Source organism: Homo sapiens, chromosome 7 (assembly GCF_000001405.40).
Source record: "Homo sapiens chromosome 7, GRCh38.p14 Primary Assembly".
In the NCBI taxonomy this organism is placed as follows: domain Eukaryota; kingdom Metazoa; phylum Chordata; class Mammalia; order Primates; family Hominidae; genus Homo; species Homo sapiens.
Genome location: NC_000007.14, coordinates 100,400,778 through 100,428,766, shown reverse-complemented (window position 1 = coordinate 100,428,766; position 27,989 = coordinate 100,400,778). Strand labels below are relative to the sequence as shown.

At 44.7% G+C, this 27,989-nt stretch overlaps 1 protein-coding gene across 41 annotated transcripts, besides 3 other annotated features; it reads left to right on the top strand.

Moving 5' to 3' along the window:
• ZCWPW1 (zinc finger CW-type and PWWP domain containing 1) lies at positions 64–27,895 on the top strand. Of its 41 annotated transcripts, none has more exons than NM_017984.6 (18): positions 64–199; positions 3,631–3,737; positions 8,089–8,145; positions 8,884–9,137; positions 9,578–9,656; positions 11,584–11,701; positions 12,311–12,462; positions 12,673–12,792; positions 19,223–19,339; positions 20,108–20,228; positions 21,464–21,539; positions 21,969–22,073; positions 23,674–23,754; positions 24,523–24,589; positions 24,982–25,073; positions 26,191–26,251; positions 26,726–26,878; positions 27,431–27,895. In NM_017984.6, the coding sequence occupies exons 3-18, from the start codon at positions 8,118–8,120 to the stop codon at positions 27,751–27,753; spliced, it is 1,947 nt and encodes a 648-aa protein (NP_060454.3). In that variant the 5' UTR covers positions 64–199; positions 3,631–3,737; positions 8,089–8,117; the 3' UTR covers positions 27,754–27,895. The 41 variants fall into 41 exon arrangements, 30 of the variants coding, with proteins under 30 accessions (NP_060454.3, XP_006716101.1, NP_001372939.1 ...); XM_006716038.5 differs by having other exon boundaries at positions 20,105–20,228; NM_001386010.1 differs by having other exon boundaries at positions 12,670–12,792.
• Positions 147–376: an enhancer, noted in NCBI's record as "active region_26363". NCBI's record gives its function as "activates an Ori minimal core promoter by ATAC-STARR-seq in GM12878 lymphoblastoid cells {active_cell/tissue: GM12878}" and the evidence as "EXISTENCE:reporter gene assay evidence [ECO:0000049][PMID:35858748]".
• Positions 537–586: a silencer, noted in NCBI's record as "silent region_18431". NCBI's record gives its function as "represses an Ori minimal core promoter by ATAC-STARR-seq in GM12878 lymphoblastoid cells {active_cell/tissue: GM12878}" and the evidence as "EXISTENCE:reporter gene assay evidence [ECO:0000049][PMID:35858748]".
• Positions 10,588–10,677: an enhancer, noted in NCBI's record as "active region_26362". NCBI's record gives its function as "activates an Ori minimal core promoter by ATAC-STARR-seq in GM12878 lymphoblastoid cells {active_cell/tissue: GM12878}" and the evidence as "EXISTENCE:reporter gene assay evidence [ECO:0000049][PMID:35858748]".

The window sequence follows — 27,989 nt, the reverse complement described above, 5'->3', positions numbered from 1 at the left end:
TTATATACCAGCGAGTGTGGGCGGGGACGGGGGTTCGGTCCGCGCTGGGCCCCCCCAGCTTCTGCCAATGAGGAAGAAGCGAGTCTACGCCGTTTTCCCGGGGAGATGCGCCGCCCGGTCTCCCTGCCAGCGGAGTGCTGGGCCGAGGACAGGGCGGCAGGGGTGACAGTGGGGTCCAGGAGAGTCTCAAAATCCTAAGGTGAGGGCGTGAAGGAGACCAGCAGGAAGAGGAGGAATTAGAGAACGGAAAGAGGGAGGAAAAGGCAGTCTGAAACAGAAAAGTTAGTAGATGTGCTTCAGGAACAATCAGGCGCCGCGGCCGCCGCCTAAAAATATGTGACACCAAAGAGGATTCTGGGATTTGTAGTTTTCCCGGGACGTTCGGGTGGAAGATGGCGGATTTACCTCAGCTGCGGAAACGCAGACGCTGTTTCCAGTTGCGCATGCGCCTCGGCCCCGCGAGCGCACCGCCCTCGGGTGGAGCTAGTGCTCAGGGCGTCCTCGTGCCTTTTCTTGGTGGCGGGAAACCTGGGTTGAGGTGTGAGGGGCTTGCGGAGTCGCTGCGGCAGCTGGTTCCGCCCATCGCCTTTAGGTCCTCCTTGCTCCTGAAGGTAGCCAGCTAGTTTCTGGTTGTAGGTGAAGGTGCTAGGCGCTGCCAGTCCTGGCACCCGTTGCCTGAGGAGAAACTTTCTCAGGGCGACAACCAGCCCTTCGCCCTTTTTCCTCAGAATCTGTCGCCCCCAAGAAACAGACAAAAAAAAAATAGCCCAGTCTCCTGGCGGGCACCAACGATATGAGTGAGAATAAGGATCACGGGGCCTCGGCAGGAGTGGGGGTGGAGGGGAGATTCCCTCATGGTGGGAGGAAGGAAGGGAGGGGACGGGGAAGAGAGAGGGGGACGTGTGGCTCAGGGACACCGACTTGAACCGCTATCCCTGAGAGAGAATAAGGGGTGAGGGAAGAGAGGAAAAATGGGAGCGCCCCACAAATGGGAAGAACTTCTCTGCAAAACTTCTTCCCTTTGGATTGCAGGTGGATTTGGAATTGGGGCTTTTTTTTTTTTTTTTTTAAAGACTGTCTCGCTCTGTCGCCCAGGCTGGAGTGCAGTGGCGCAGTCTCGGCTCACTGCAACCCCCACCTCCTGGGTTCAAGCGATTCCCCTGCCTCAGCCTCCCGAGGAGCTGGGACTACAGGCGCCCGCCACTGTGCCCGGCTAATTTTGTATTTTTAGTAGAGACGGGGTTTCTCCATGTTGGCCAGGCTGGTCTCGAACTCCTGACCTTAGGTGATCCGCCCACCTTGGCCTCCCAAAATGCTGGGATTACAGGCACGCGCCACCGTGCTCGGCTGATTTTTTTGTATTTTTAGTAGAGACGGGGTTTCACCGTATTGGCCAGGCTGGTCCCGAACTCCTGACTTAAGGTGATCCACCCGCCTCTTCTTTCTTGTTAAAAGTTTTAAATCGGGCTTGCTGAGCTTGTGCACAAACACGAAGGAAGAAAGCAAGGGAGGGAAGGGGGAGGAAGGAAGGAGGGAGGGAAGGGGGAGGAAGGAAGGAGGGAGGGAAGGGGGAGGAAGGAAGGAGGGAGGGAAGGAGAAGAGAGAGAGGGAGGGAGGAAAGGGAGGAGGGAGGGAGGAGGGGGAGGAAAGGGGAGGGAGGGAAGGAGAAGAGAGAGAGGGAGGGAAGGAGAAGAGAGAGGGAGGGAAGGATAAGAGAGGGAGGGAGGAAAGGGGAGGGAGGGAGGAGGGGGAGGAAACGGGAGGGAGGGAAGGAGAAGAGAGGGAGGGAGGAAAGGGGGAAGGGAGGAGGGGGAGGAAAGGGGAGGGAGGAGGGGGAGGGAGAAGGGAGGGAGGGAGAGGAAGGAAGAAGGAGGGGAAGCAGGGAAGGGAGGAGGGGGAGGGGGGTAGGAAGGAGAGGGGGAGGAAAGGGAAGGAGGAGGGGGAGAAAGGAGAGGGGGAGGAGGGAGGGAAGAGGGAGAGAGAAAGGGAGGAGGGCAAGGAAGGAGGGGGAGGGAGAGAAGGAGGGGGAGGAAGGGATGGAGGGACAAAGGGAGACAGAAGGAGGGAAGAAGGAAGAGAGGGAGGGAAGAGGGAGGAAGGAGTAAAGGAGGGAGAGAGGGAGGGAGAAAAAGTGAGAGGGAGGGAGGAAACTGCTATTAGTTAATTGAGGCATGAAAATAAGCAGGAGTCCACATACTGTTATTAATGCAAAAAGGAAGATCAGACTCTGGCTTAAAAAAGATTTGAAATATACTTTTTTTTTTTTTTTTTTTTGAGACAGAGTCTCACTCATTTTGCCCAGGCTGGAGTGCAGTAGCACGGTCTTGGCTCACTGCAACCTCCACCTCCTGGGTTCAAGTGATTCTCCTGCTTCAGCCTCCCAAGTAGCTGAGATTACAGGCGCCTGCCACCACGCTGGCTAATTTTTGTATTTTAGTAGAGATGGGGCTTCACCATGTTGGTCAGGCTGGTCTTGAACTCCTGACCTTAGGTGATCCACCTGCCTTGGCCTCCCAAAGTGCTGGAATTACAGGCGTGAGCCACTGCGCCCGGCTGAAATATACTCTTTAAATACCGCTTTTTTGAGGCTCAGGGAGTCTGGGTTAGAGGACAATGCTAAAGGGTTTACTTCTCTTAGACCAAGGATTTGAGGAACAATATAAGGAAGGGAATGATTGGATGGTTAGGAAGAGGAAATTTGGGAACACATTCTGAATGGTGTGTGGGGAGAGAGAATTACTGTTTATTTAAAAAAGTATTGGCAATACTGACAAGTTATTTCACTAGGTCAGTTCTCAAACTTTTTGGTTTGAGAACCCTTTTATACCCTTAAAATTTATGGAGGACTCCAAAGAGCTTTTATTTGGTTTGTATCTGTTGATACTAACATTTTAGAAATTAAAATTCAGAAACATTTAAAGTTTGATTAGAAATAACAATAATAAATATGTTAACCTAAACAGGTTTTTATGAAAAATACATTCTCCTAAACAAAAGAAAATTTAGCATGAAGAATGGTGGTGGTTTACATTTTTGCAAATCTCTTTCATGTCTGGCTTAATAGAAAACAACTGGGTTCTCGTCTGTTTCTGCATTCAGTCTGTTGGGATATCTTGTTTTTGTAAAAGTACATGAGAAAATCCAGCTTAATACAGATAGGTAGTTGGAAAAGGGAGAGGGCCCCCTAGGATTTTGGGACTACACTTAGAACTGCTGAGTTAGGTGATTTCATCTCAAAATTTATGTGATGGTTTTTAATGTTCTAAGTGAAATAAAACTCTTTTTTGAGATCCTCATTCACCTTCCCTTGGTTCCCTTTATTATTTCTAAGTTCTTTTTCCCTCCTTATTTACCCTCATTTCATATGTTGAGTGATGAGAATATGGTTTCTGGAACTGTACTGGTTCTTTTACATTCTTATTTAAAGCCTTTGCCCCTCTTATTAAAGCCTTCCCCGCAACCCCACACCCTGCCCCTCTTCATCTAAGGTAAGAAAAGAGAAATTAAAACCTCAAATTTTATTCCTGGGTCTACAGCCCCTAGTCATTTAGTAGCTGTACAGAAGAAAGTTAGTGGTATTTTATATTTTTATTAACTGTCTATATTTTTTTCTCTCTCTCTCTGAACCAGCTTTCAGTATTTGTTATTGTGAAAGAAGTTAATTCACCTGAAACAGAGGAGGGGCAACCTGAGTTATCAGAAAGTGACTTCCTGGCCTTCCCTTCTTTACTGATCAGGTTAGAGCTTTTGTTTGAAAGCAGTGTTATCACATGCACAGATTATACATATTATGTGATACTATACATCACTGTTTATAGATTTATTACATCTTATTAACTCAACAACAGTGAACCACAATTCTATCTAGTTGGTTGGGGCTCCAGAAATATACTTTGGCCTAGGAAGATCTTTACAGGTTTAGATAAGGATTTGAACCTAAATACTGGAAATGTTTGCATTTTTAGGTTGGTCGAAATACTCTCTTTTAATTTTACTTAAAGAATTTCGGCCGGGCACGGTGCGTCATGCCTGTAATCCCAGCACTTTGGGAGGCTGAGGCAGGTGGATCATGAGGTCAGGAGATTGAGACTATCCTGGCCAACATGGTGAAACCCCGTCTCTACTAAAAATACGAAAATTAGCTGGGGGTGGTGGTGCGCTCCTGTAATCCCAGCTACTCGGGAGGCTGAGGCAGGAGAATCGCTTGAACCTGGGAGGCAGAGGTTTCAGTGAGCCAAGATTGCACCACTGCACTCCAGCCTGGTGATAGAGCAAGACTGTGTCTCAAAAAAAATAATAATAATTTAAAATATTTTTTGAAGTGGCAACATTTATAGGTTTTAAAATGCCAAAGATAAACGAGGGAGTCCACCAAAAGCTTCCTTTCACTCTCATCTACCCAGTTCTACTCCCCAGAGGCATTTTGATCCATTTTTTTTCTCTTCCAGAGAAAATTTATGATTAACAAGCCTATTATACCAGACATATGTTTTTAAAAACTAAATGTTGTCATCTGAAACACACTAATTTTCACTCTGCTTTTCTCACTTAGCATAGCCGTTGTAATTTAGACAGAGACTTCTTGTGATCTTTTTTGGAATTTTAAAGTCTAGGAAAAGATATATTTGTCATTTGTGGTCAAATTAATATTCTTTTTACAGGCTAATTTTACCCAGTCTTTTTTTTTTTTTTTTTTGAGACGGAGTTTTGTTCTTGTTGCCCAGGCTGGAGTGCAATGGCGCGATCTTGGCTCACTGCAACCTCCGCCTCCTGGGTGCAAGCGATTCTCCTGCCTCAGCCTCCTGAGTAGCTGGGATTACAGGCGCCCGCCACCACGCCCGGCTAATTTTTTGTATTTTTAGTAGAGAAGGGGTTTCGCCACGTTGAACAGGCTGGTCTCGAACTCCTGACCTCAGGTGATCCACTCGCTTCAGCCTCCCAAAGTGCTGGGATTACAGGTGTGAGCCACCATGCCTGGCCAATTTTATCCATTCATTACCTTCTATTTAGAATTATAATAAAGGAGATTAATTTGCTTGAGTGTTTCTCCCCAAAATTCCAACTTGCCTTTTTTTCTGGAGCAAATATGTTTTGGGATTGGTGATGATGAGTTAAAATGGAAACAGCAAGAAAATGTGCCCCTTAATATAAAGGAAACGTCGTTGCTTTAGAACAGCACATCTGAATTATTCACATTTATAGAAGTGAGAAAAGGAAGAGAAAAATGCTGAAGGGTATTCACATTTAGCCATGCTGTGGCCACGCTGTCAAAACCTCAGTACCCTTTAAGTTTATCTTATGGTCTAGAGAGAGGAACCCTACACCTTGAACGAGTTTGGCCATTTAAGGTCTTAAAATTTTCTGATCCTTTAAAGGGAAGTGTATATGAACCAAATGATCCATTTTACGTCGCTTTTGGATCTCTTTATAGTGGGGGATCACAGATTTAGAACAAAGAGTTTCAGTTGCAGGGTTTTCAAACTGCTCAAAGCCAACAGCCAGAAACAAGATCACTGAGTAGAATAGATATGTTATTAGTAGAATTGAGAGGCAAAAGTCCTGGGTTCATCTAAGCTCAACAATATATTAACACTGAGTCTTTAGGCAAACCACTTAACCTCTGTTAGCATATTTTTTTTATCTGTAGAAAGGGGAGTTGGGGCTTTATTATCCCTAAAGGTCTTCCCAGAGCTATAATGCTTTTTATAATGGTTATAAAAGTAAGAATGGCATATATCCCCTAAGCCTAAAGAAAACTGGGTGAAGGGCTGCAAGAAGTTAAGGTTAATAAAATAAAACTTTTCTTCAGAAAGCTGGGTGGACACAGAATACTATGCAGCCATATAAAAGAACAAGATCATGTCCTTTGCAGCAACATGGATAGAGCTGGAGGCCGTTATCCTAAGTGAATTAACGCAGGAACAGAAAACCAAATACTGTATATTCTCACTTATAAAGTGGGAGCTCAACATTGCATACACATGGACACAAAGAAGGGAACAATAGACACTGGGGCCTACTTGAGGGTGGAGAGTGGGAGGAGGATGAGGACTGAAAAACTACCTATTGGGTACTATACTCACTACCTGTGAAACAAAATTATCTGTACACTAAATCCCATGACATGCAATTTACCCATGTAACAAACCTGCACATGTACCCCTTGAATGTAAAATAAAGGTTGGAAAGAAAAAATAAAAATAAAGCTGTATGGAAATAATATCAGTAGTGGGAAAGTATAAATTGGAAAATAAAAATACTGGAATGTTCGCAGATGAGTCTTGGCACACTGGTGGGTCACGAATAGCTTGTAGCTGTGTAGATACTAATTTCTTCTTCAGCCTTTGGTGTGACTCTTCAGTTGCCTATGGCTGTGAGCAGCCTGGTCCTTTTACCCCCAGAGTACCTGGAAATGTCATTTTCTATGTGTTTCAGTATACGCTATTAATGTATGTTTTCTGTGTGTGCTGTGATAGCAAAATGGTGGTGAAGCACTGAATTAGACTGTTAGGATGTCGTGTAGCAGTTATTAGCACAAACTTTGAAATCAGACAGGTTCTAATCCTGATTTTACTACTTATCGATGACTTAATATCTTTAAATCCCTGTAAACCTGAATTTCCCCCAAGTGTAAAATGTTACCAATCTCATAGATCTGTTGTGAGAATTAAATGGAATGCTACATAAAGGGTAAAGAATATAGTCAGTGCTCAATAAGTGTTAGCCATTACCATTAGTCACAGTGTCATTAGTAATCAAGAAACACATGATGTCAGGCCGGGTGTAGTGGCTCACGTCTGTAATCCCAGCACTTTGGGAGGCTGAGGCAGGCAGATCACCTGAGGTGGGGAGTTCAAGACCAGCCTGACCAATATGGAGAAACTCCGTCTCTACTAAAAATACAAAATTAGTCGGCGGTGGTGGCGCATGCCTGTAATCCCAGCTACTCGGGAGGCTGAGGCAGGAGAATCGCTTGAACCCGGGAGGCGGAGGTTGCGGTGCACCGAGATCGCACCATTGCACTCCAGCCTGGGCAACAAGAGCAAAATTCCATCTCAAAAAAAAAAGAAACACATTGATGTCGTGTGGAACATCTGTGAGTAGATTGCTGAAGATGAACTATGAATATCAAGGCACTAATTTAATTTCTCATTATTAGGTGCTAAGGTAGAATAAGGAAAAAGATACTAAATTTTCTGGGAACCTCTACTGGTTATCAAATACTTCTGAGCTATGACTAGAGATTGGTAGAATCTAGTACATTTGAAAATTGATTGGACTGAGGATCTAAGAAAGGGAAAATAAACATTATAATGATGTTAAAAGTGGGGCTTCTCTATGCACAGAGACCTCTGAGGTCAGAGAATTACCAAATTATATGTGTGTTCTAAGTGTTTAGGAGAGGCTTATGAAATGAGGCTATCCCTCTGAAGAAAACTCTTAACTGCCAGGATTGTTCATACCCTACCATCACTGCTCTACTACCACCTATGCTTCTGGTACTACTACCATTTCTGCTGCCTGCCTTAGGTTGGACATGGTTCTAGGCTGGACATGGTTCTAGGCACATAAAACACTAAGGATTGCTGCTAATATTTATTTGTTATTTAAATTTTTGAGTCAGGGTCTCACTCTGTCACCTAGGCTGGGGTGCTGGGGCACAATTTTGGCTCACTGCAGCCTCCGCCTCCTGGGCTCAAGTGATCCTCTCACCTCAGCCTCCAGAGTAGCTGGGACTACAGGCGCATGCCACCACACTGGCTAATTTGTTTTATTTTTTGTAGAAATGAGGTTTTGCCGTGTTGCCCAGGCTGGTCTTGAACTCCTGGGCTGAAGTGATCTGCCTGCCATGGCCTCCCAAAGTGCCAGGATTACAGGTGTGAGCCACCACACCCAGCACTGATTGTTGCCAATCTTTAAAACAGTAACTCATTATTCCCTGGTGTGTAATTGGCACCACAGAGGAGGTCAAGAATGCAGAAACCTAGTTCAGAGGTCTGAAACAAAGAGTTTCTGAACCCAAGTAGACAGAAAGTTTAAAATCTTGTTTAATCAGAGTCATAGCAGTTAATTTCTTTTTTCTAACAGAGGCACACAAAGCGTAGTTTCTAAGCTGAATGATGACAACGTTGCAGAATAAAGAAGGTGAGTCAAGAGTGAGGGAGGTTCGCTTCATACATTTCTCTCATTTTTCTCCTTTTGGACATCCTTTCCACCAAAGGATGGTACGGGTCCCTATATTCTGTGCCCACTCAGGTCAAATTACTGCTCTGCTAGATGCTTTGAGTGAAATAAATATGACTTAAAAACAGTCCTGCTCGAGGAACATATAAACTCAGGGAGAGAAAAGGCATTTAAATACCTATCATAAAGTTGAATGTGGTAAATGCCACCAGTTATGTGCAGAGTATTAAGGAAGCTCAAAGAAAGATATACCTGGGAGGATCATTATAATTTTTATTGAGGAGGTGGCATAAGAGCTGTGAATAATTTATAGATTTTGACTAGTTTTTAAAAATTTGCTCTAATTTTCCATAACATTTTATCTAAAGTAAAAATGAGCAAATTATACAGTTTCACATTTGGATAACTCAGCTTCCTGCATGCTTATATTTATCACCTTTGACTTAGTGGTTCCCAAACCTGGCAGTATATCAGAATCAACTAGCCTTGTAAAATTACAGATTGCTAGGCCTCTCATGTCTAACTACCTCATCAGCATCTCAGGGCTGAGGAGTGGAGTAAGCAGTGAGAGACCCAGGAATCTGAATTTGTTAAAAGCTCTCTCCATATCATTCTGTTATGGCTAGTCAAAGGGTAATGTTTGGCAATCTCTGTTAGACTGTATGTTTCATAAATTCCACTTGATCACATTTCTTTCAGAATGTGGAAAGGGACCAAAGAGAATCTTTGCCCCACCTGCACAAAAATCTTACAGCCTGTTACCTTGTAGCCCTAACTCCCCTAAGGAGGAGACCCCGGGGATCAGTTCCCCAGAGACAGAGGCCAGGATAAGCCTGCCAAAGGCCAGTTTAAAGAAGAAAGAGGAAAAAGCAACCATGAAGAATGTTCCAAGCAGGGAACAGGAGAAAAAAAGAAAGGCACAAATCAACAAGCAAGCAGAGAAGAAAGAAAAGGTACCAGTCATAGTGGTGGGCTCTGGTAGGAGATTTTCTCATACCTTACCCCTGGCTCAGGCTAGACAAACAGAGTCTTTTCACACTGGGGAAATTCACCCTAGAGTTTCAGGTTTGTATTCCTTTTTGAGGGCTTCCTTTTTTTTTTCTCAAAGAGGTCAAAAATGTTTTGATGAAAGAATTGAGCAGGAAATAATGGGATGAGGTGGGTTAGAGGTGGGGATAGAAGTAGACAGAGACATTATACACTTTTCTCTTTCCTTTGACTCCTTTATTCCCAGGAGATCTGGGATATAGTTCATGGCCTCCTTAGGTATGCTGACTGCATGCCTTCCGTCTTATAAACTTACTGCCTCATCTGAAGGAGGCTTCCCTGACTGTTCAGAGGGGAAAACTATGGAAAGATAAGTGGTTTTCCTCCCCTACCCTTGTCTCTGCAGGAAAAATCAAGTCTTACCAATGCAGAATTTGAGGAGATTGTCCAGATTGTTCTGCAGAAGTCCCTTCAGGAGTGCTTGGGTATGGCATGTAGTAAGAGAAAAAGGGTTTCAGTTAAGCAGTGACTGTTACCTGAGAGGGAGAGTTAAGTCTGACAGCTTCTCTCTTTCTCTCCCATCTTCTAAATAAGGTAATATTAGATGAGACTTCAACATATTTTAAAAATACTTCATCATCTGTCAACAGGACTATAGCTAAACCACCTTAGATAAAGGGTACATATTTTTAGAAAAAGTGGATTACATTGACTTCAGAATTTATATATAGTCTTAACTAAATTTTCAAGCCATTATGGGATTTTTGTTGTTATTTATTTACTTATTTATTATTTTTTTTTTTTTGAGATGGAATCTTGTTCTGTCACCCAGGCTGGAGGGCAGTGATATGATCTCAGCTCACTTCAGCATCTGCCTCCCAGGTTCAAGTGATTCCCCTGCCTCAGCCTCCTGAGTAGCTGGGATTACAGGCGCCCACCACCACGCCTGGCTAATTTTTGTATTTTTAGTAGAGGCAAGGTTTCACCAGGCTGGCCAGGCTGGTCTCGAACTCTTGACCTCAAGTGATCTGCCCACCTCAGCCTCTCAGTGCTGGGATTACATGTGTAAGCCACTGCACCCAGCCTGTTGTTTTAATTTTTACTTTTTGTAGAGATGAGGTCTTGCTATGTTGCCCAGGCTGGTCTTGAACTCATGGCTGCAAACGATTCTCCCATTTCAGCCTCCCAAAGTGTTGGGATTGTAGACGTGAGCTACAGTGCCTGGCCCTAAATTTTTAAAATGCAGTTAAAATTCGTTTCCATGTATTTACAAACAACTTCAAATAAGATAAAATTGTTTTCCCTAGATTTGAAAAACTTAGGGTACATACCCTTGCAAATTTCAGTTTCTAATACCGATTTTGCATGTGGTTAGAGATTTAGTTTTTGGAATAAAGAACGCAGTGAGGGAGGCCAGGTGCAGTGGCTCATGCCTGTAATCCCAGCACTTTGGGAGGCCAAGGCGGGTGGATCACTTGAGGTCAGGAGTTCAAGACCAGCCTGCCCAACATGGTGAAACCCCGTCTCTACTAAAAATATAAAAATTAGCCAGGCGTGGTGGCGTGCACCTCTAGTCCCAGCTACTCAGGAGGCTGAGGCACGAGAATCGCTTGAACCTGGGAGGCGGAAGTTGCAGTGAGCCGAGATTTCGCCACCTCACTCCAGCCTGGGCGACAGAGCAAGACTCTGTCTCAAAAAAAAACCAAAAAACAAAAACCAAAAACCAAAAAACCAAAAACCTCTATGAAGGCTTTTCCATAAGTTCATGAGGCTGAAGAGAACAGTCTGACATTTCAGCCATTCTTAGGTATACTTCTATTCCTAGGCGTTTGAGCAACAAATGATATAAAATACAGTACATATAATTTTTTTTTTTTTTAGATGGAGTCTCACTCTGTTGCCCAGGCTAGAGTGCAGTGGCATGATCTTGGCTCACTGCAACTTCCGCCTCCCAGGTTCAAGAAATTCTCCTGCCTCAGCCTCCCGAGAAGCTGGGACTACAGGTGCATGCCACCGTGCCTGGCAAATTTTTTGTATTTTAGTAGAGACAGGGTTTCACCATGTTGCCCAGGCTGGTCTTGAACTCCTGAGGTTTGGCATTCCACCCACCTCGGCCTCCCAAAGTGTTAGGATTACAGGCGTGAGCCACCATGCCTGGCCTATAATTTTTTTATGTACACAAAATTATCATTACCTGGCCATCCTGGAATGAGGCAGATCGATCTGGAAAGGCTTGCAGAAAGATACATATTTGTAGTTTTTCCTGAAAATTTAAATATTTAAAGTTCTGTGATATGACAGGTAGGCTCTTTCAGGCTACAGGGAGAAGACACTTTAGAGAAAATGTTAGGGAGTAATAGAGTGGCTTTTTCGTTTTTTTGCTTCTCTGCTTATAGTATTTTGTTTTGGGAGGGATGGGATCTGGCCTTGATTTTGCAGAGACTTCTTGTGCCCAGCCCGTAGTATCTACCCAATCAGACAAGGAGCCAGGAATTACTGCTTCTGCTACTGATACTGATAATGCTAATGGGTAAGTTTATTTCAGTGAGGCAAGTTGAACACAGAATGGACTACACATTCATGGTCAGTCAGTCTATCTATCTGTCTGTCTATCTGGTCATTTATCATATTTCTTTTTTTTTTTTTTTTTGAGACGGAGTCTCGCTCTGTCGCCCAGGCTGGAGTACAGTGGCGTGATCTTAGCTCACTGCAACCTCTGCCTCCTGGGTTCAAGCAATTCTCCTGCCTCAGCCTCTCGAGTAGCTGGGATTACAGGCGCCTGCCACCACACCCGGCTAATTTTTATACTTTTTAGTAGAGACGGGGTTCACCATATCAGCCAGGTTGGTCTCGAACTCCTGACCTTGTGATCCACCCGCCTTGGCCTCCCAAAGTGCTGGGATTACAGGCGTGAGCCACCAGGCCCAGCCCATTTATCATATTTCTATAGATTTCTCTCAGCTCAGGAAAGATACCTGTTTGAGTTGGGAAAAATAGGCAAGTAGATGGATGAAATGGCCTCAGGAGGTCTTAGAGAGCTTAGGATTCATCTGTCTTCCTTTTACTCGGGTTTTTTCAGAAGAAGAGTTCTGCAATTGCTCTATTTTTACCTTTCATTAAAATAAAACCTCATTTTCAGAGAGGAGGTACCACATACTCAAGAGATTTCAGTGTCTTGGGAAGGTGAAGCTGCCCCTGAGATAAGGACATCTAAGTTAGGCCAGCCAGATCCTGCACCCTCTAAGAAGAAATCCAATAGACTCACCTTAAGCAAAAGAAAGAAGGAAGCTCGTAAGTACAGTCAGATATACTTTGAAGCCTGGCTCAAGTACTAGCTCCAGGAAATTAGGGAATGGGACCATGGGCAGGCTGAGAATTTTCAGCCCAAGACTTGAGACTATTAGGCTGTGATTCTTCTTCCTTCTTTCACTGACCTTTACTATCTACAAAGATTGTCTTCTTCATCTCCCCACCTCACGTTTTCTTTTTTCTTCCCAGAAGATGAGAAGGTGGAGAAAACTCAAGGTGGACATGAGCACAGACAGGAAGACCGACTAAAGAAAACAGTTCAGGATCATTCTCAGATCAGGGACCAGCAAAAAGGAGAGATAAGTGGTTTTGGTGAGTTTAGCTGGTTTGGCAAACCTACTTGGCCTGAAAATTTGAAATAGAGCAGAGAGGCAGGGTTAGGATGTTAGAGGAACCTCTGCAAAGAATATAGTCAATCTCTCACAGCTGCTTGTTGCAGAATATGCTGCCGAAAGAATAATTTCATTCATTCAGTCATTTATTCACATAATCCATAGTTGTTGGGTGCCTACTGTGTACAAAGCATTTTAGATGTTTCCCAGGAAGAAAATGAAGATGTGGTAAGAAAGGTAATAGTTTGAGATAATGTGGTAAAAAAGGTAATAGAAGATGTGGTAAGAAAGGTAATAGAAAAATAAGGAGTGGTATTATAGATCCCAGGGGAGGAGAGAATTTAAAGAAAGAGGGATGCTCAGCCATGTCGAATGCCATCGTAAAGAAATCAAAGAGGATAAACATAAGCTCAAGGACATCACAATTAGGAAGCCATTAGCGGTTTGGTTATAGCTACTGAAAGAGTTGATAAGCGTGAATGGCAGCTTATAGCTGGTTGAAGAGTAGACACTTTTTCAATTAGTTTAGATAGGGAAAGTAAGAGGGAGAAAATGGTAGATAAAAAGGAATGGAGGCTGGGCATGGTGGCTCATGCTTGTAATCCCAGCTCTGTGGGATGCCGAGGTGGGTGGATCACAAGGTCAGGAGTTCAAGACCAGCCTGACCAATATGGTGAAACCCCATCTCTACTGAAAATACAAAAATTAGCTGGGTATGGTGGCATGCGCCTGTAGTCTCAGTTACTTGGAGGCTGAGGCAGGAGAATCGCTTGAACCCAGGAGACGGAGGTTGCAGTGAGCCAAGATTGTGCCACTGCACTCCAGCCTGGGCAACAAAGGGAGACTCTGTCTAAAAAAAAAAAAAAAAAAAAAAAAAAATGGGTACGGAGTTGAGGGAGGGGTTTTTTGTTTTTTTGTTTTGTTTCGTTTTGAGATAGAGTCTTGCTCTGTCGCCAGGCTGGAGTGCGGTGGCGCGATCTCCACTCACTGCAACCTTCTCCTCCCGGGTTCAAGCGATTCTCCTGCCTCAACCTCCCTAGTAGCTCGGACTACAGGCATGCGCCACCACGCCCAGCTAATTTTTGTAATTTTAGTAGAGATGGGGTTTCACCATGTTGGCCAGGATAGTCTCGATCTCTTGACCTTGTGATCTGCCCGCTTCGGCCTCCTAAAGTGTTGGGATTACAGGTGTAAGCCACCGTGCCCAGCCTGATAATGGTAAATTTTATGACAAGAAATAAAACAGATCATACAATATACTAGTGTGTTCAAAAATTCAAAAATACCAAGGCAGGAGGATCACTTGAGACCAGGAGTTTGAGACCAGCTTGGGCAACACAGTGAGACCCTCATCTCTACAAGAAAAAAAAAAATTAGCTGGATGTAGTGGTAGTGCCTGTAGTCCTAGCTGTTCAAGAGGCTGAGGTGGGAGGATCTCTTGATCCCAGGAATTGGAGGCTGCAGTGAGCGATGATTGTGCCACTGCCCTCCAGCCTTGGTGACAGAGCAAGACCCTGTCTCTAAAAAACTAAATAAATAGACAACAATCTAAACAGGCTTGTACCAAACAAAAACAAAAACCCCAAAACAAAACATAATACAAAAAGACAGAACAAGTTCCAACTTTAAGAAACAGTGGAATAAAAAGTTACGTAGTGTCTAATCTGTATGTGTACATATATGTGGTTTTGGTTGTGGAAGCATAATATAGTTTGCACATACTTGGAAGAAAACTCCAAGACTATGCAGGCACCAAACAAGGTAGTTCAGGTCAATAAACCATTCCTCTTGTTATAATGACATAGTAACATAAGGCACTGAGGTATAAGTCTAATTTGAACAACCAGGTGGCCTGGAGTTCAGACTACCCGAAGGGAGTTTCTAGGTAGAGTCAAAAAGGAAACTAAAAGGTTTTTCTTTTGGTTTTATGTGACTATATAAACTCAGATGTGCTTGTTGAGAACTTTTGGGGTACTGCAGACCCCACTGACCTGATCTCTGGTTAGCTCAAATAAATTGGTGTCATTAGATTTGTGTTGCTCTGTCTCCTGTACTCAGAATTACTGTAAGAGGCCTGGCGCAGTGGCTCACACCTGTAATCTTAGCACTTTGGGAGGCTGAGGCAGGAAGCTTGCTTGAGTCCAGACTAGCCTGGGTAACATAGTGAGACCCCCGTCTCTATAAAAAAGAAAAAAAGTGAATTTATATTAAAAAAGAAATGGAAAAAAAAGAATTACTGCATGGACTAGATCTTAGGCTGGCAGATGAGGGTTCACCCTCTAGGTGATTGTGAGTTGAATTGTGATTGTAGTGGATTTATTAGCCTCCTGCTATAAATAAACCATTCTTCCCATTTCTTACAGTTGCCAAGGAGAGGTGAGTGCTCCTGAAGTAGGAAGGAGTATTTAATGAATACAATTTGCATTAAGTACAGAGAAGGAAAAGAGCAGTGTGTCATGAGAGGAAGTAAGATTGGGCTGGTCAGGGAGTGCATTTCTAAGGAAACAGTATTTCAGCTGAAACCTGAAGGCAGAGTAGAAGTTATCCAAGTGAAGAAAGAGTTTTAGGTAGGGTAAAGTGTGGTATGTTCCAGATACTAAAAGAAAGCCAGTGTGATTGCGGAGCTCAGAGAGCAAGGGGAGGCAAGTTGGGAACGTGGCTCTGGATAACTGGAAAGAGGGAGGCAGTGGCTAGGTCAAAGACCATGTACAGAGTGAACATTTTATCCTAAGTGCAGGGGGAATCCACTGGTGGGTTTTAACCAGGGAAGTGACATCTTCACATTAATGTTTTAAAAGGATCCTTTGGTGATTAATTGGAGATGGAGTATGGGGAGAAAAGAAGAATAGACCAGTTAAGAAGTTAGTATTAGGATTAGGTATTAGGCTTTGATTAAGATGATGGCTGAGCACAGTGGTTTACACCTGTAATCCCAGCACTTTGGGAGGCAGAGGCAGGAAGATCACTTGAGCCCAGGAGTTTGAGGTTGCAGTGAGCTATGTTCATACCACATCACTCCAGCATGGGTAACAGAGCAAGACCCTGTCTCAAAAAAATATATATTTAAAAAATAAGGCTGGGCGTGGTGGCTCATGCCTGTAATTCCAGCACTTTGGGAGGCCGAGGCGGGTGGATCACGAGGTCAGGAGATCAAGACCATCCTGGCTAACATGGTGAAACCCCGTCTCTACTAAAAATACAAAAAATTAGCCGGGTGTGGTAGCGGGCGCCTGTAGTCCCAGCTATTCGGGAGGCTGAGGCAGGAGAATGGTGTGAACCCAGGAGGCAGAGCTTGCAGTGAGTGGAGATCGTGCCACTGCACTCCAGCCTGGGCGACAGAGCGAGACTCCGTCTCAAAAAAAATAAATAAAAAAAAAATAAAATGGATTAGGATGATCAAAATAGAGAAAGAGAAAAGTGGATGGTTTTAAGGTATGTTTTGGAGGTAAAATTGTTAGAAGTTGGTAATGAATTAGATACTGGAAGGTTGGAGCAGGAGAAGGTATGTCAAGGATGATTGGTTTCTGTCTTGAACAGTTATGTGAAGGGAGATGGGAAAGAGCGGAGGAAGAAAAAATTTGTAATATAAGATGAAGCATTCAGGTTTGGGTACATTTAGGTTTGAGATCCTTGTGAGACATCCAAATAGAGATGTCAAAGAGCAAGGCGGCTTAGGAATCTCGAGCTCAGAACAGAGGCTGTAAGTAGACAGCTGTGTTCTGTCAGGTATGAAAATAGATTTCAAAGCCATGGGAATGAGTGAGCTTGCCTCAGGAGAAAGTGTATCATGGGGAGAGAAGGCCCATGATTGGGCTTTGGGACCCCTGACATTTAGAGATTGAAGAACGAAGAGAACCCAGCAAAGGAGACTGAGGGGGAAGCTTGCCAGTAAAATCAGGGGGAGGGGGACAGGAGAATGAGACATCACAGAACCCAGGAAACTAGTGTTTCAAGAATGAGTGGTCAAGTGAAATCCTCTTAACATGTGTCTGTGACATCAGTCTTCATGATCATAGAGCCACATCCGGGCATCAAACACAGTTTTCCAGAGCACATTATCTTCTCCTTTAGGTTACTTGAACTTTTAAAAAAGTACAATGTTCTTGTCAAAAATATTATTCCAAGCCATAAATTTCCAGTTCCATATCATTATAGTGATTTTTTCCTACTCATTTTCTTATGAGTACTCACTGCTTTCACAGCTAACAATTTGTATTATTATTGATCTGTATTAATATATATGACTCCTGGCCTCTCCTCCTACTCTTTTTTTCTAGTCTTGCTAGCTCACCTCTGTAAACATCCAAAACTACTATTGGCAACTGTCATTTCAGACTAACATATTAGTCCCAACCAGTACTTTGTTCTTCAAGATAAGGTAATTGAGGCTGGGCATGGTGGCTCACCCCTGTAATCCCAGCACTTTGGCAGGCTGAGGAGGGTGGATCACTTGAGCCCAGGAGTTCAAGACCAGCCTGGGCAACATGGGGAAACCCTGCCTCTGTCAATAAATACAAAAAATTTTCTGGGTGTGGTGGTGCATGCCTGTAGTCTCAGCTACTTGGGAGGCTGAAGTGGGAGGATCACTGGAACCTGGGAAGTGGAGGCTGCAGTGACCCGAGATTGCGCCACCGCACTTGAGCCTGGGCAACAGAGCGAGACTGTGTTTCAAAAAAAAAAAAAAAGTAATTGCGAAAGTGATCCTTATATGTGATATTTTGAAAAGACCCAAATGCACGTCAACTTTTCTGAGGGATGATTCTGGAGGGATGGGATTAGGAGCCATCCTTTATGATCAGGTATTTAAGGTAAAATTTGGCAGTGGGAGAGAGTGAACTTACTGGAGAAATATGTTGGTTGATAAATAAATAGTGAATATATAGCGATACCTATGTGTCTGTTATGTGATTTTTCTCTGTCAACTCAATTGCTTGAGTGTAGGCTCAGAAAAGGTGGAGAGGGTTCATTCTGGTTGGTGTTTTGCCACCTGGGTGGGAAGAACGACAGTGGGAAAGGGAGCTGAAGGTGTCTACAAGAGAATCCAAGTAAATGTCAAGTAATCAAACCAGAGTGGAACAGAGTGAAGAATGAAAGTTGCTTCCAGATGGAGAGGATGGTAGTGGGCAGTGGGTTGGAGAGCTAGATAAAATGAAAGTTGCTATAGGAGTCTTTGAGCAAGTGAGGTGGAAGACGGGGCATTTTTGTAGATAGGATGTTTGGATGAGTGGCTCAGAGGGTGTGCAGTTCCTGCAGATGACTGGGTGGGGCATGCAGGAGTGGGAGTGGGTTCCAGAGGTGACATGAAGAAAAAAGTCAAGGGACTGAAATAATGGGGTGCTGTATGAGGAGTTCCTGTGGATGTAGAGGTCATTTGGAATGAAGGCAGGAGGTGGAGAGAAGACTGAATCAGATACCAGCATCTCTACAAGGGAGATGAGAGGTGAGGATAGTCCCATGGCATAGACCTCAAGGGAGGAAGTTTTTATAAGAGTTGGAGAGTAGTAGCAATGGGGCAATGATAATGCCAGCCTGACTTTCTGTCCCAAGAGACATGGGGAGTGTGAGAGGAACTGACTGCACTTACAGGGTTGTAGGTGGGGGTGGTTTAGGTGGGGCAGTGTCATTAGTGGGTCTCCAGGCTTCAGAAAGGAGATAGAAGTTCAGATTTGAGGTTGAGGATATGTGGACTTTTGTTGCTCGAGTCAATGGACTTTCCAAGACCACAATGGAAGAGTTTTGGTGGGAGAGAGGAGAGGCTGAGGGACATGGGTCAGCTTAGGAGAGGTGGGGGTCTGGAAGGTAATGGATAAAAGGAAGGCTTGGCCTTTGAGCAGGGCCCAGAGTTAATAGTTGATGGAGAAGTGATAGGCTTAGACCTGTGTCTTTTGGAGAAGAGTGAACTCAGACACTGTTGGTCCTAAAGTTTGCAACTTGGTGATTTGGTGACAGGTAAATCAGTTGAGATTTGGATAAGAACTCTGGATGTTGTGCACAAAAGAGATGCAGGTTAGCCCTTCAAAAGAACTTTTCAGTAGTGTCATGCCAGCAGAGAACAAGGCACTATCTGGAAAGATGCCAGGCAACCTTTCAATTTAAGAACTGTCAATACAAGAAACATTCCTTTCAGCCTTGGGGCAGGGAGACATGGTAGCCTAGTACAGGAAAAAGATCAAGGCATGAGACTTGAGTTCTAAGTTCAGCTCTATCGCCAAGTTAGCTAATCCTCAGCAAGCCAGTTACCTCTTTGAGCCTTGGTTTCCCTCTTATAAGTCAGGGATCGGGCTGGTTGATCTCTAATGTCTCTCTGGCTATGTCATTCTGGGAGTTGGGAGGGTTATCCTGATTTTAGTTGGATTAAAGAAGGAAGAGCATATTTTTAAGTCTCTTATTTCATTTTTTTCCTCTCACAGGTCAATGTCTGGTCTGGGTCCAGTGTTCCTTCCCAAACTGTGGGAAATGGAGGCGGCTGTGTGGGAACATTGACCCCTCAGTTCTCCCAGATAATTGGTCCTGTGATCAGAACACAGGTAGAAAAGACTGGAAATGTTTTCATTCATGTTTTATTGTTCCTCCCTTTCTTTCTCTGCACTTATCCTTTAGATTAAATACTACGTAAATATAGTTAGCACTCAGTGTCCTTGTAGTGCTTGGGAGAGAGGAAGGATCTGCCTCTCATATGGAGATGAATCTGGGCAGAAAAGGCTGGAGGAAGATGCCCTGTAAAGTGATCTTGTTGGGGAGGGGCCTGGAATCTAAATACATGAGCATTGGTCTGCCCCTGTCAATCCTGATTAAAATATTGGTATTGGGTTGGTGGATAGGGAGGGATATAGGATATATCGGGGAAAACAGACGAGAGAGATCTGGTGCGCTTAGAATTCTAGGCTGTTTGGAACTAGTTGGAAGAGATGATGATGATCTTGTCCAGCCCAATTATTTTACAGATGAGAAAACAGAGTCTCAGAGAAATTATTCTTATGGTGCTCCATAGACAGGAGCACAGTCAGACACGCGGGCATGCAAGCAGGAGTGTGGAATCTCTTCCTGGAGTATGAGGAGGCACCATTCCTACTGCCTCCAGCTGCATTTCAGCTGGTTCCAGCTGCATTTCAGCTGGTTCCAGCTGCATTTCCTCCATGGGTCTTTATTCTTCCTCTGTGCTGATCTCCCAGGTGCCCCTTTGGTCCCACCTGCTGCATATACCAATTTCCTTCTTGTTCTCTCCCCAGCTCTCATCCAGCTCTTTCTCTTAAAGAGTCTCTTCCTGTCCCTTCATTCCTTCTCTCTTTCAGCAGATGTGCAGTATAATCGCTGTGATATTCCTGAGGAGACCTGGACAGGGCTTGAGAGTGATGTGGCCTATGCCTCCTACATCCCAGGATCCATCATCTGGGCCAAGCAATACGGTTACCCCTGGTAGGGCATTATGACACAGTCAGAGCATCCTTCACAAACTTGGGAGAGGTAGATTCAAGCAGGGGTGGAAGCAAATGGAAAACATCTGTAATTGAAATGGTTCTGGCCTTAGAAAGAGCATGGGGTGAGAGAAAAGATAAAGTACCAAGCCTGGAGGCTTTGAAAGAGTGTATTTTCTGGAGGTTTCAGCATGGAGGTGATAGCTCCCTGGAAAAAAGGGTCTGATAGTGCTACCCCAACTGGTAGAAAGAAGAGGGTGGATCTGAGGCATTTAAAAATATTGAGATTGGCCAGGCGCAGTGGCTCACACCTGTAATCCCAGCACTTTGGGAGGCCAAGGCGGGCAGATCACCTGAGACCACAAGTTTGAGACCAGCCTGGCCAACATGGTGAAATCCCATCCCTACTAAAAATAGAAAAATTAGCCAGACGTGGTGGCGCGTGCCTGTAGTCCCAGCTACTCAGGACGCTGAGGCAGAAGAATCACTTGAATCCGGGAGGCAGAGGTTGCAGTGAACCAAGATTGCACCACTGCACTCCAGTCTGGGCGACAGAGTGAGTCCCCATCTCAAAAATAAATAAAAATATTGAGATTGAGAGAGACAAAGTAAAGGGAACAAGGAAAAGTGGGATAGTTTCTTCTTTGGAGATGTCTCTAGTCGAAGATTTTGTTCTTAGGATTGTGGATGGCTCAGAAGGGTAAGATACCTTCACTAGGTATATTCTGAGCTCCTGTGTGCATCGATGGAAGTCACTTTCTCACGAGTCATTCAGTAGTGACCACTAGAGGGGGATGATGGAAGGGGAATCTATTTTTTGGATCCTTTTTTTGCAAAGCATACTGCTGGCTGAGCGCAGTGACTCACGCTTGTAATCCCAGCACTTTGGGAGGTTGAGGTAGGAGGATTGCTTGAACCCAGGAGTTTGAGATCAGTCCTGGCTATATAGTGAGACCCCATCTCTGCAAAAAATAAAATAAACAGCTGGGTGTGGTGGCATGTGCCTGTAGTCCCAGCTCCTCAGGAGGCTGAGGTGGGAGGATCACTTGCGCCTGACAGATCAAAGCTGCAGTGAGCCATGGTTGTAACACTGCACTCCAGCCTGGGTGACAGAGTGAGACCTTGTCTCAGAAAAAAAATCATACTGCTCTTCTCTGTGCATGTACATTGATGAGGTTGTGTTCTGTTCATCTAACCCCTTCTCTTCTGTCCCCTACACCCAACTATCTTCTCCAGGTGGCCAGGCATGATAGAATCTGATCCTGACTTAGGGGAATATTTTCTTTTTACTTCCCATCTTGATTCCCTGCCGGTGAGTTTCCTGGTTCAGGGTAAGAAGGAGCTCAGGCCAAAGTAATGAACAAATCCATCCTCACAGACGTACAGATAAGAGACATGGACATAGCCAGCAGACACAAGTGAAAACAGACACTTAACTAGGATGACAAACACAGAGATAAGTGCTCACACATATAATAGAAACAAACTTGTATCTAATTAAATATTTATCCACTGTCAGGGCATTAGTGGTTTTGATAAATACGCTTTGGCTAGGATTCCTGAGGTTAGAATGGAAGAACAATTGCAACGAGGGTAGGGTAGATGAGTCAGGCTTTGAAAGGAGTATGTGAGGCCCAGCACCTCCTTCTGGGTGAATTCCCATTCTCCCGATCTGTTCTGGCTAGAGGAGAAAAGCAGGGAGCAGGACAGGAGTCCGTAACAGGATCATCTTTTATTTCAGTCTAAGTACCATGTGACGTTTTTTGGAGAAACAGTTTCTCGTGCATGGATCCCAGTCAACATGCTAAAGAACTTCCAGGAGCTGTCCCTGGAGCTATCAGTCATGGTGAGCACATCTTGGGGTTCTGTTGTGATACAGAGAAAACAAAATCTTCCTTTTCTTAAACCTCATTTTCTCCCAGGGTAAGCCATGTCGGGAGAAAGTTCTGTGTCTGACCAGGTGTGCCAAGGGTGAGGTAATTCATGAAGGACTCTTCTTGCTCCCAGGACTGCAGCAGGGCAATTTTTTTTTTCAGTCCCCTTCCCTGCCTACAGATTGGGGGCCATTCTGAAGATGAGGTTTTTTCTACAGTTTAGCCAAAGCAGGTGTGGCAGAAATGAGGGCACAGATTAACTCAGGATTTCTCAGTCTCAGCACTATTGGCATTTCGGGCGAGATAATTTTTGGTTGTGGAGGGCTGTCCTGTGCATCGTGGGATGTTTAGCAACATCCCCAGGCTCCAGCGGCATCTAACCAGCAGCAGCCCCCACCTCCACCCTGCCCATGGTTGTGACAACCAAAAAATTATCTCCAGCCATTGCCAGGTGCCTTCTGGGGGGCACAGTCTACCCGGTTGAGAACCATTGGGTTAGCACCATCATATTTCCTCCCTGTAGTCACTTTGGGTTTGACCAGCCTTGCAATTGAGCAGAGGCTCAATGGCTCAGGGGCCTTAGAAAATCAAGCAATGAGTATTAAATCAAACAGCTGGATCTAAAGGAACTTGTCAGAAGCTTCAAAGTGAAATCACCTGGGCTCCTATAATCCTGTTTTCAAATTTCCATGGGATTCACTTTGGAGAGGACACCAAAATGTTGGTTGAAAATATTGCTAGGGCCAGGTGTGCTGGCTCACACCTGTAATCCCAGCACTTTGGGAGGCCGAGGTGGGCAGATCGCCTGAGCTCAGGAGTTTGAGACCACCTGGCAACATGGTGAAACCCCGTCTCTACTAAAATACAAAAAATTTGCTGGGCATGGTGGTGTGTGCCTGTAGTCCCAGCAGGAGGCTGAGGCACAAGAATTGCTTGAACCAGGGAGGTGGAGGATGCAGTGAGCTGAGATTGCACCACTGCACTCCAGCCTGGGTGACAGAGTGAGACTGTCTCCAAACATATACATATACCTAGTTAGGAATTGGTAAGACGTCTATTAGACGGAAGGGGGGTGTTATGTCCGATCCCTAAATATTAAGAATAGGAGTATCGTATCAATACTAGGAACTGGAAATAAATACTGTAGTCGAAGAGAATGTCAGATGGGTAGCAGTATGCTGGGGTCACTTCTCTAATATTTATTAGTGACTCTAATCTTTTTCTTTTTTTTTTCTTTTTGAGATGGAGTCTCGCTCTGTCCCCCAGGCTGGAGTTCAGTAGTGTAATCTCGGCTCACTGCAACCTCTGCCTCCTGGGTTCAAGCAGTTCTCTGCCTCACCCTCCCGAGGAGCTGGGGTTACAGGCGCCCACCACCATGTCCAACTAATTTTTGTATTTTTATTAGAGACGGGGTTTCACCATCTTGGCCAGGCTGGTGTTGAACTCCTGACCTCGTGATCTACCTGACTCGGCCTCCCAAAGTGCTGGGATTACAGGTGTGAGCCACCGCACCTGGTCATGACTCTAATCTTTAAGTCAATATTTATCATTGGCTCTAATCTTCTATTTCAGAAAAAGCGCAGAAATGACTGCAGCCAGAAACTGGGGGTGGCCCTGATGATGGCTCAAGAGGCAGAACAGATCAGCATTCAGGTGGGAGGGTGTTCAGACCACACCCATTCCTTTCCCTACTCTTGGACAAGGGGGATTCTTTCTCAGTCCAGACAAAGATGGTTTGTGCTAGGGGCCATCCTACCTCTATATTTCACTTCAGGTTTCAGATATAAGTGCCCTAACCTCTCTTTTCTGTGGAGTCAGTTTTTATGCTCAAATTCTGTTGGTGGGGGTAGGATAGAGAGTAAAAAACAGTGAAAATTTCCCCTCCAAATTTCCCTTATTTGTTGAATTAGAAACAAACTGGAAATAGAGATTATAATTAGTTAATCTCCATAAAAAGTCAGATAAGCCTAATGTGTAATTTCAAGTGAAAATAGTATGGAAAATGAGGGCTGGGCAGGGGGTTCACGCCTGTAATCCTAGCACTTTGGGAGGCCAAGGCAGGTGTATCCATTGAGTCCAGGAGTTCAAGACCAGCCTAGGCAACACGGCAAAACCCCATCTCTGCAAAAAATACAAAATTAGCCAGGCATGGTGGTGCATGCCTGCAGTCCCACATACTTGGGAGGCTAAGGCAGGAGGATCATTTGAGCCAGGGATGGGGAGGTTGCAGTGAGTAAAGATTGTACCACTGCACTCCAGCCTGGGTGACAGAGCAAGACCCTGTCTCAAAAATAATAATAATGATAATTTTGGTATGGAAAATGAATCAGAATTTCATCATAACTAAATTCCAGAAGACAGAAGGCAAAAGCTGCGCCTGAAAGGGTAGTGGATGATGCTTTTGTTTCTTGGTTCCCTTAGGAACGGGTTAACTTGTTTGGTTTCTGGAGCCGATTCAACGGATCTAACAGTAATGGGGAAAGAAAAGGTAGGATAAATGGAGGTTGAGGACTGGAGAAGGATGGGAGGGATTCCTTCATGAGGGCAGCAACCCATGTTTTTCTTTATTTTATATTCTCTATCATCAGGCTAATTCTGGATTCTTTAATAGGAGGCTCTTGTGAATGTCATTGACCCAGTATCTAGGATGGATGGGCAGATGAGTGGAGAGAGGAATGGGAGAAACAGAATGGGGAGGGAGGGTGTATTGAATAGTGATGGACTTTGAAAAGGGTGGAAATCTGGGATCACATTTTATGGAGAAAATACCACTTGTACACAAAAGGCACAGTTAGAAGACAGATTCTTTGTGATCAGCTTCATTAACTCACTATTTTATGGTATGAATGATTTAGCCTTTCCTTCCTTTTCCTGTTCTAGACTTACAGCTCTCTGGTTTGAACAGCCCAGGATCCTGCTTAGAGAAAAAGGAGAAAGAGGAAGAGTTGGAAAAGGAGGAAGGAGAGAAAACAGTAAGATTAGCTTTAATTTCAGTTTTTATTTTTATAGAGATGGAGTTTCACCAGGTTGCCCAGGCTGGTCTCAAACTCCTGGACTTAGGCAATCCTCCCACCTCAGCCTTCCAAAGTGCTGGGATTACAGGCATGAGCCACCACACCTGGCCAACATTAGCTTTAAAAATTGTTTAGATGGCTGGGTGTGGTGGCTCACGCCTGTAATCCCAGCACTTTGGGAGGCCGAGGGAAGCGGATCACGAGGTCAGGAGATCGAGACCATCCTGGCTAACACAGTGAAACCCCATCTCTACTAAAAATACAAAAAATTATCCGGGCATGGTGGTGGGCACCTATAGTCCCAGCTACTCGGGAGGCTGAGGCAGGAGAATCGCTTGAACCTGGGAGGCAGAACTTGCAGTGAGGCAAGATCGCGCCACTGCACTCCAGCCTGGGCAACAGAGCGAAACTCCCTCTCAAAAAAAAAAAAAAAAATTGTTTAGACAAGGATCTTGGGGTTTCCTTTCAGGAGCTTTCTGTAAGGATCTCGTTAGAATGGACTTAGATTTACTAAGGAGCTATCCTGACCCTGCCTTGAGGGAGCCCCAGTTGTCAGATATTTGGGGGTTTCTAAGTCTCTTCTTTCCTCTTTATTCTCTAATTTCCCACATCTCTAGGAACTTCTTTCTTGAGTATAATCTCAGTTCCTACTGTATGTATTTGACTCCTCAGGGAGCAATTCAGAGAATACCAGTTGTTTCTTTCCACTCCTTTCTCCCCTACATGGACATGGAGGATTTTCATTCACTTGTTTTCTTAGCATCTCTTTTCCAGGTATAGGAAATATATATTTTCACTTTTTCTTCTAATTTTTAATTTAGCAATTTTTATCATACTTGTGGCCTAGCTTTATTTCCTTCTTTTATGCCTAAAGCCTTGCATTGATGAATACCAACAGACTGGGAAAGTGACCATACATTTTTCTCTGTGTTGCCAGAAATTTAAACAATATCAGGCTCACAGAAGCTACTTTGATTCCCCAAAGCCCACCTGTCATTCTGTAGCATCCTTCTCTATTAAAAACAGTTAGGGGCCTTGATTTATCATTTTTTTAAACTTTCTCTCCCATCCTCAGGACCCAATTTTGCCCATTCGTAAGCGAGTCAAAATACAGACCCAAAAAACCAAGCCAAGAGGTAAGCAGGCCAGCTGGAAATGGAGCACAACCCACAGTTAAGGCAGGGAAGTGGTAGAGAGGGAGTCTGCAGGTAGCTGGACCTCACTGCCCATCTCAGTGCCAGGACCTGAGAAAACAGGCAACACTCACCCATAGTGTCATGGGGAGCTGGAACCCCTTTGCTTCTCTGTACTGAATTATAAAATCTGAGGTGAAAGATGGAAGGTTTTAATTTCTTAGCCAAGAAGGATGGCTTTCTGGAGAAGGTAGACTCTGAGGAGAACTGTAAAGAGAAGAAGATCCAGGGGATAAAAGAAAAAAAGAGAATTGGGGGGAAAAGATGTTGAAAAAGAGCCAGAGGCCACCAGGAAAACTCACTAGATTGCAACTGAGCAGAAGATGTGGGGCAGGGCAGAAACTCAATGTGCAGTGTCCATCTGCCCTTGCCGAGTTGTCGTTTAGAGAGAAATAAACGCATTTCCCTCACGGCTAGGGCTTGGGGGTGATGCAGGCACAGCAGATGGCCGAGGCAGGACACTGCAGAGGAAGATAATGAAGAGATCTCTAGGCAGGAAATCCACAGCTCCTCCTGCACCCAGAATGGGAAGGAAAGAAGGCCAAGGGAATTCAGATTCTGACCAGCCAGGTAAGGCTCAAGGCCTGGGAAAAACTAAGGGGAATGAGGTGCCTGTCAGCATCTCCCCTCCCTGAATCATTTCTTAACCATTTTACAGCTTTTCATTACTTTACAGAATGAATGAAAATTAGAATGAAAGAGCGTCTCGGACTGCACCCAGCACACACTATAGAAACAGAATGATTCCTGATTTGATTTGGCCCAGGGGCAGGAGAATGGTAGAAGAGAAGTAACACTTAATCAGTATTGCCAAGGGCTGGCTAAAGAGATACTTCCATGCCTGCTCCTTTAAATTTTTTTCAATAGCTCTCTCACTGGATATTCCCATTTTAGATATTAGAAAACTGAGGCTCAAAGGATTTAAAAAGTGCTCAAGGCTGGTGACTAGCATAGGGCAGACGGCTTGACTCTCTTTCTGATCCCAAAGTCCATATTCTTTGTATTGAGAAAGGTCATCTTTTCCAGAGATTTCTTGGAAATAGAGATTTAGGAGTTTGACTTATAAAAGGTAAGGACAGGCTGACCTAATAGGACTCTTGGCTTTGTCACCTTCTCATTTAGGCCCTAAGAAAAAATTTAAAGCTCCCCAGAGCAAGGCCTTGGCAGCCAGCTTTTCAGAGGGAAAAGAAGTTAGAACAGTGCCAAAGAACCTGGGCCTATCAGCGTGTAAGGGGGCCTGCCCCTCATCTGCGAAAGAAGAGCCCAGACACCGGGAACCCCTGACCCAGGAGGCTGGAAGTGTCCCCCTTGAGGACGAAGCCTCCAGTGACCTGGACCTGGAGCAACTCATGGAAGATGTTGGGAGAGAGCTGGGGCAGAGCGGGGAGCTGCAGCACAGCAACAGTGATGGCGAGGACTTCCCCGTGGCGCTGTTTGGGAAGTAGCTGGTGCTCCTCTGCTCCCTCTTTTTCTCCCTTCTCTGGGGCGCAGGAGGGAGAAGTTGCTAAGTGCTGGGTCTGTTCATTGGCTATGAGGTTCAAATGTGTGTGGTGCAGTTTCTGTGTTAATAAAGCAGGTTACAGTCGACTGGGTTGGCTGGTCTCTAACTGCCCCCTGTTGGCTGCTCTCCCTCCTCCGTGTCACTGTGGCGCGTCACTGCTTCTAGCGGGAGCCTGCACAG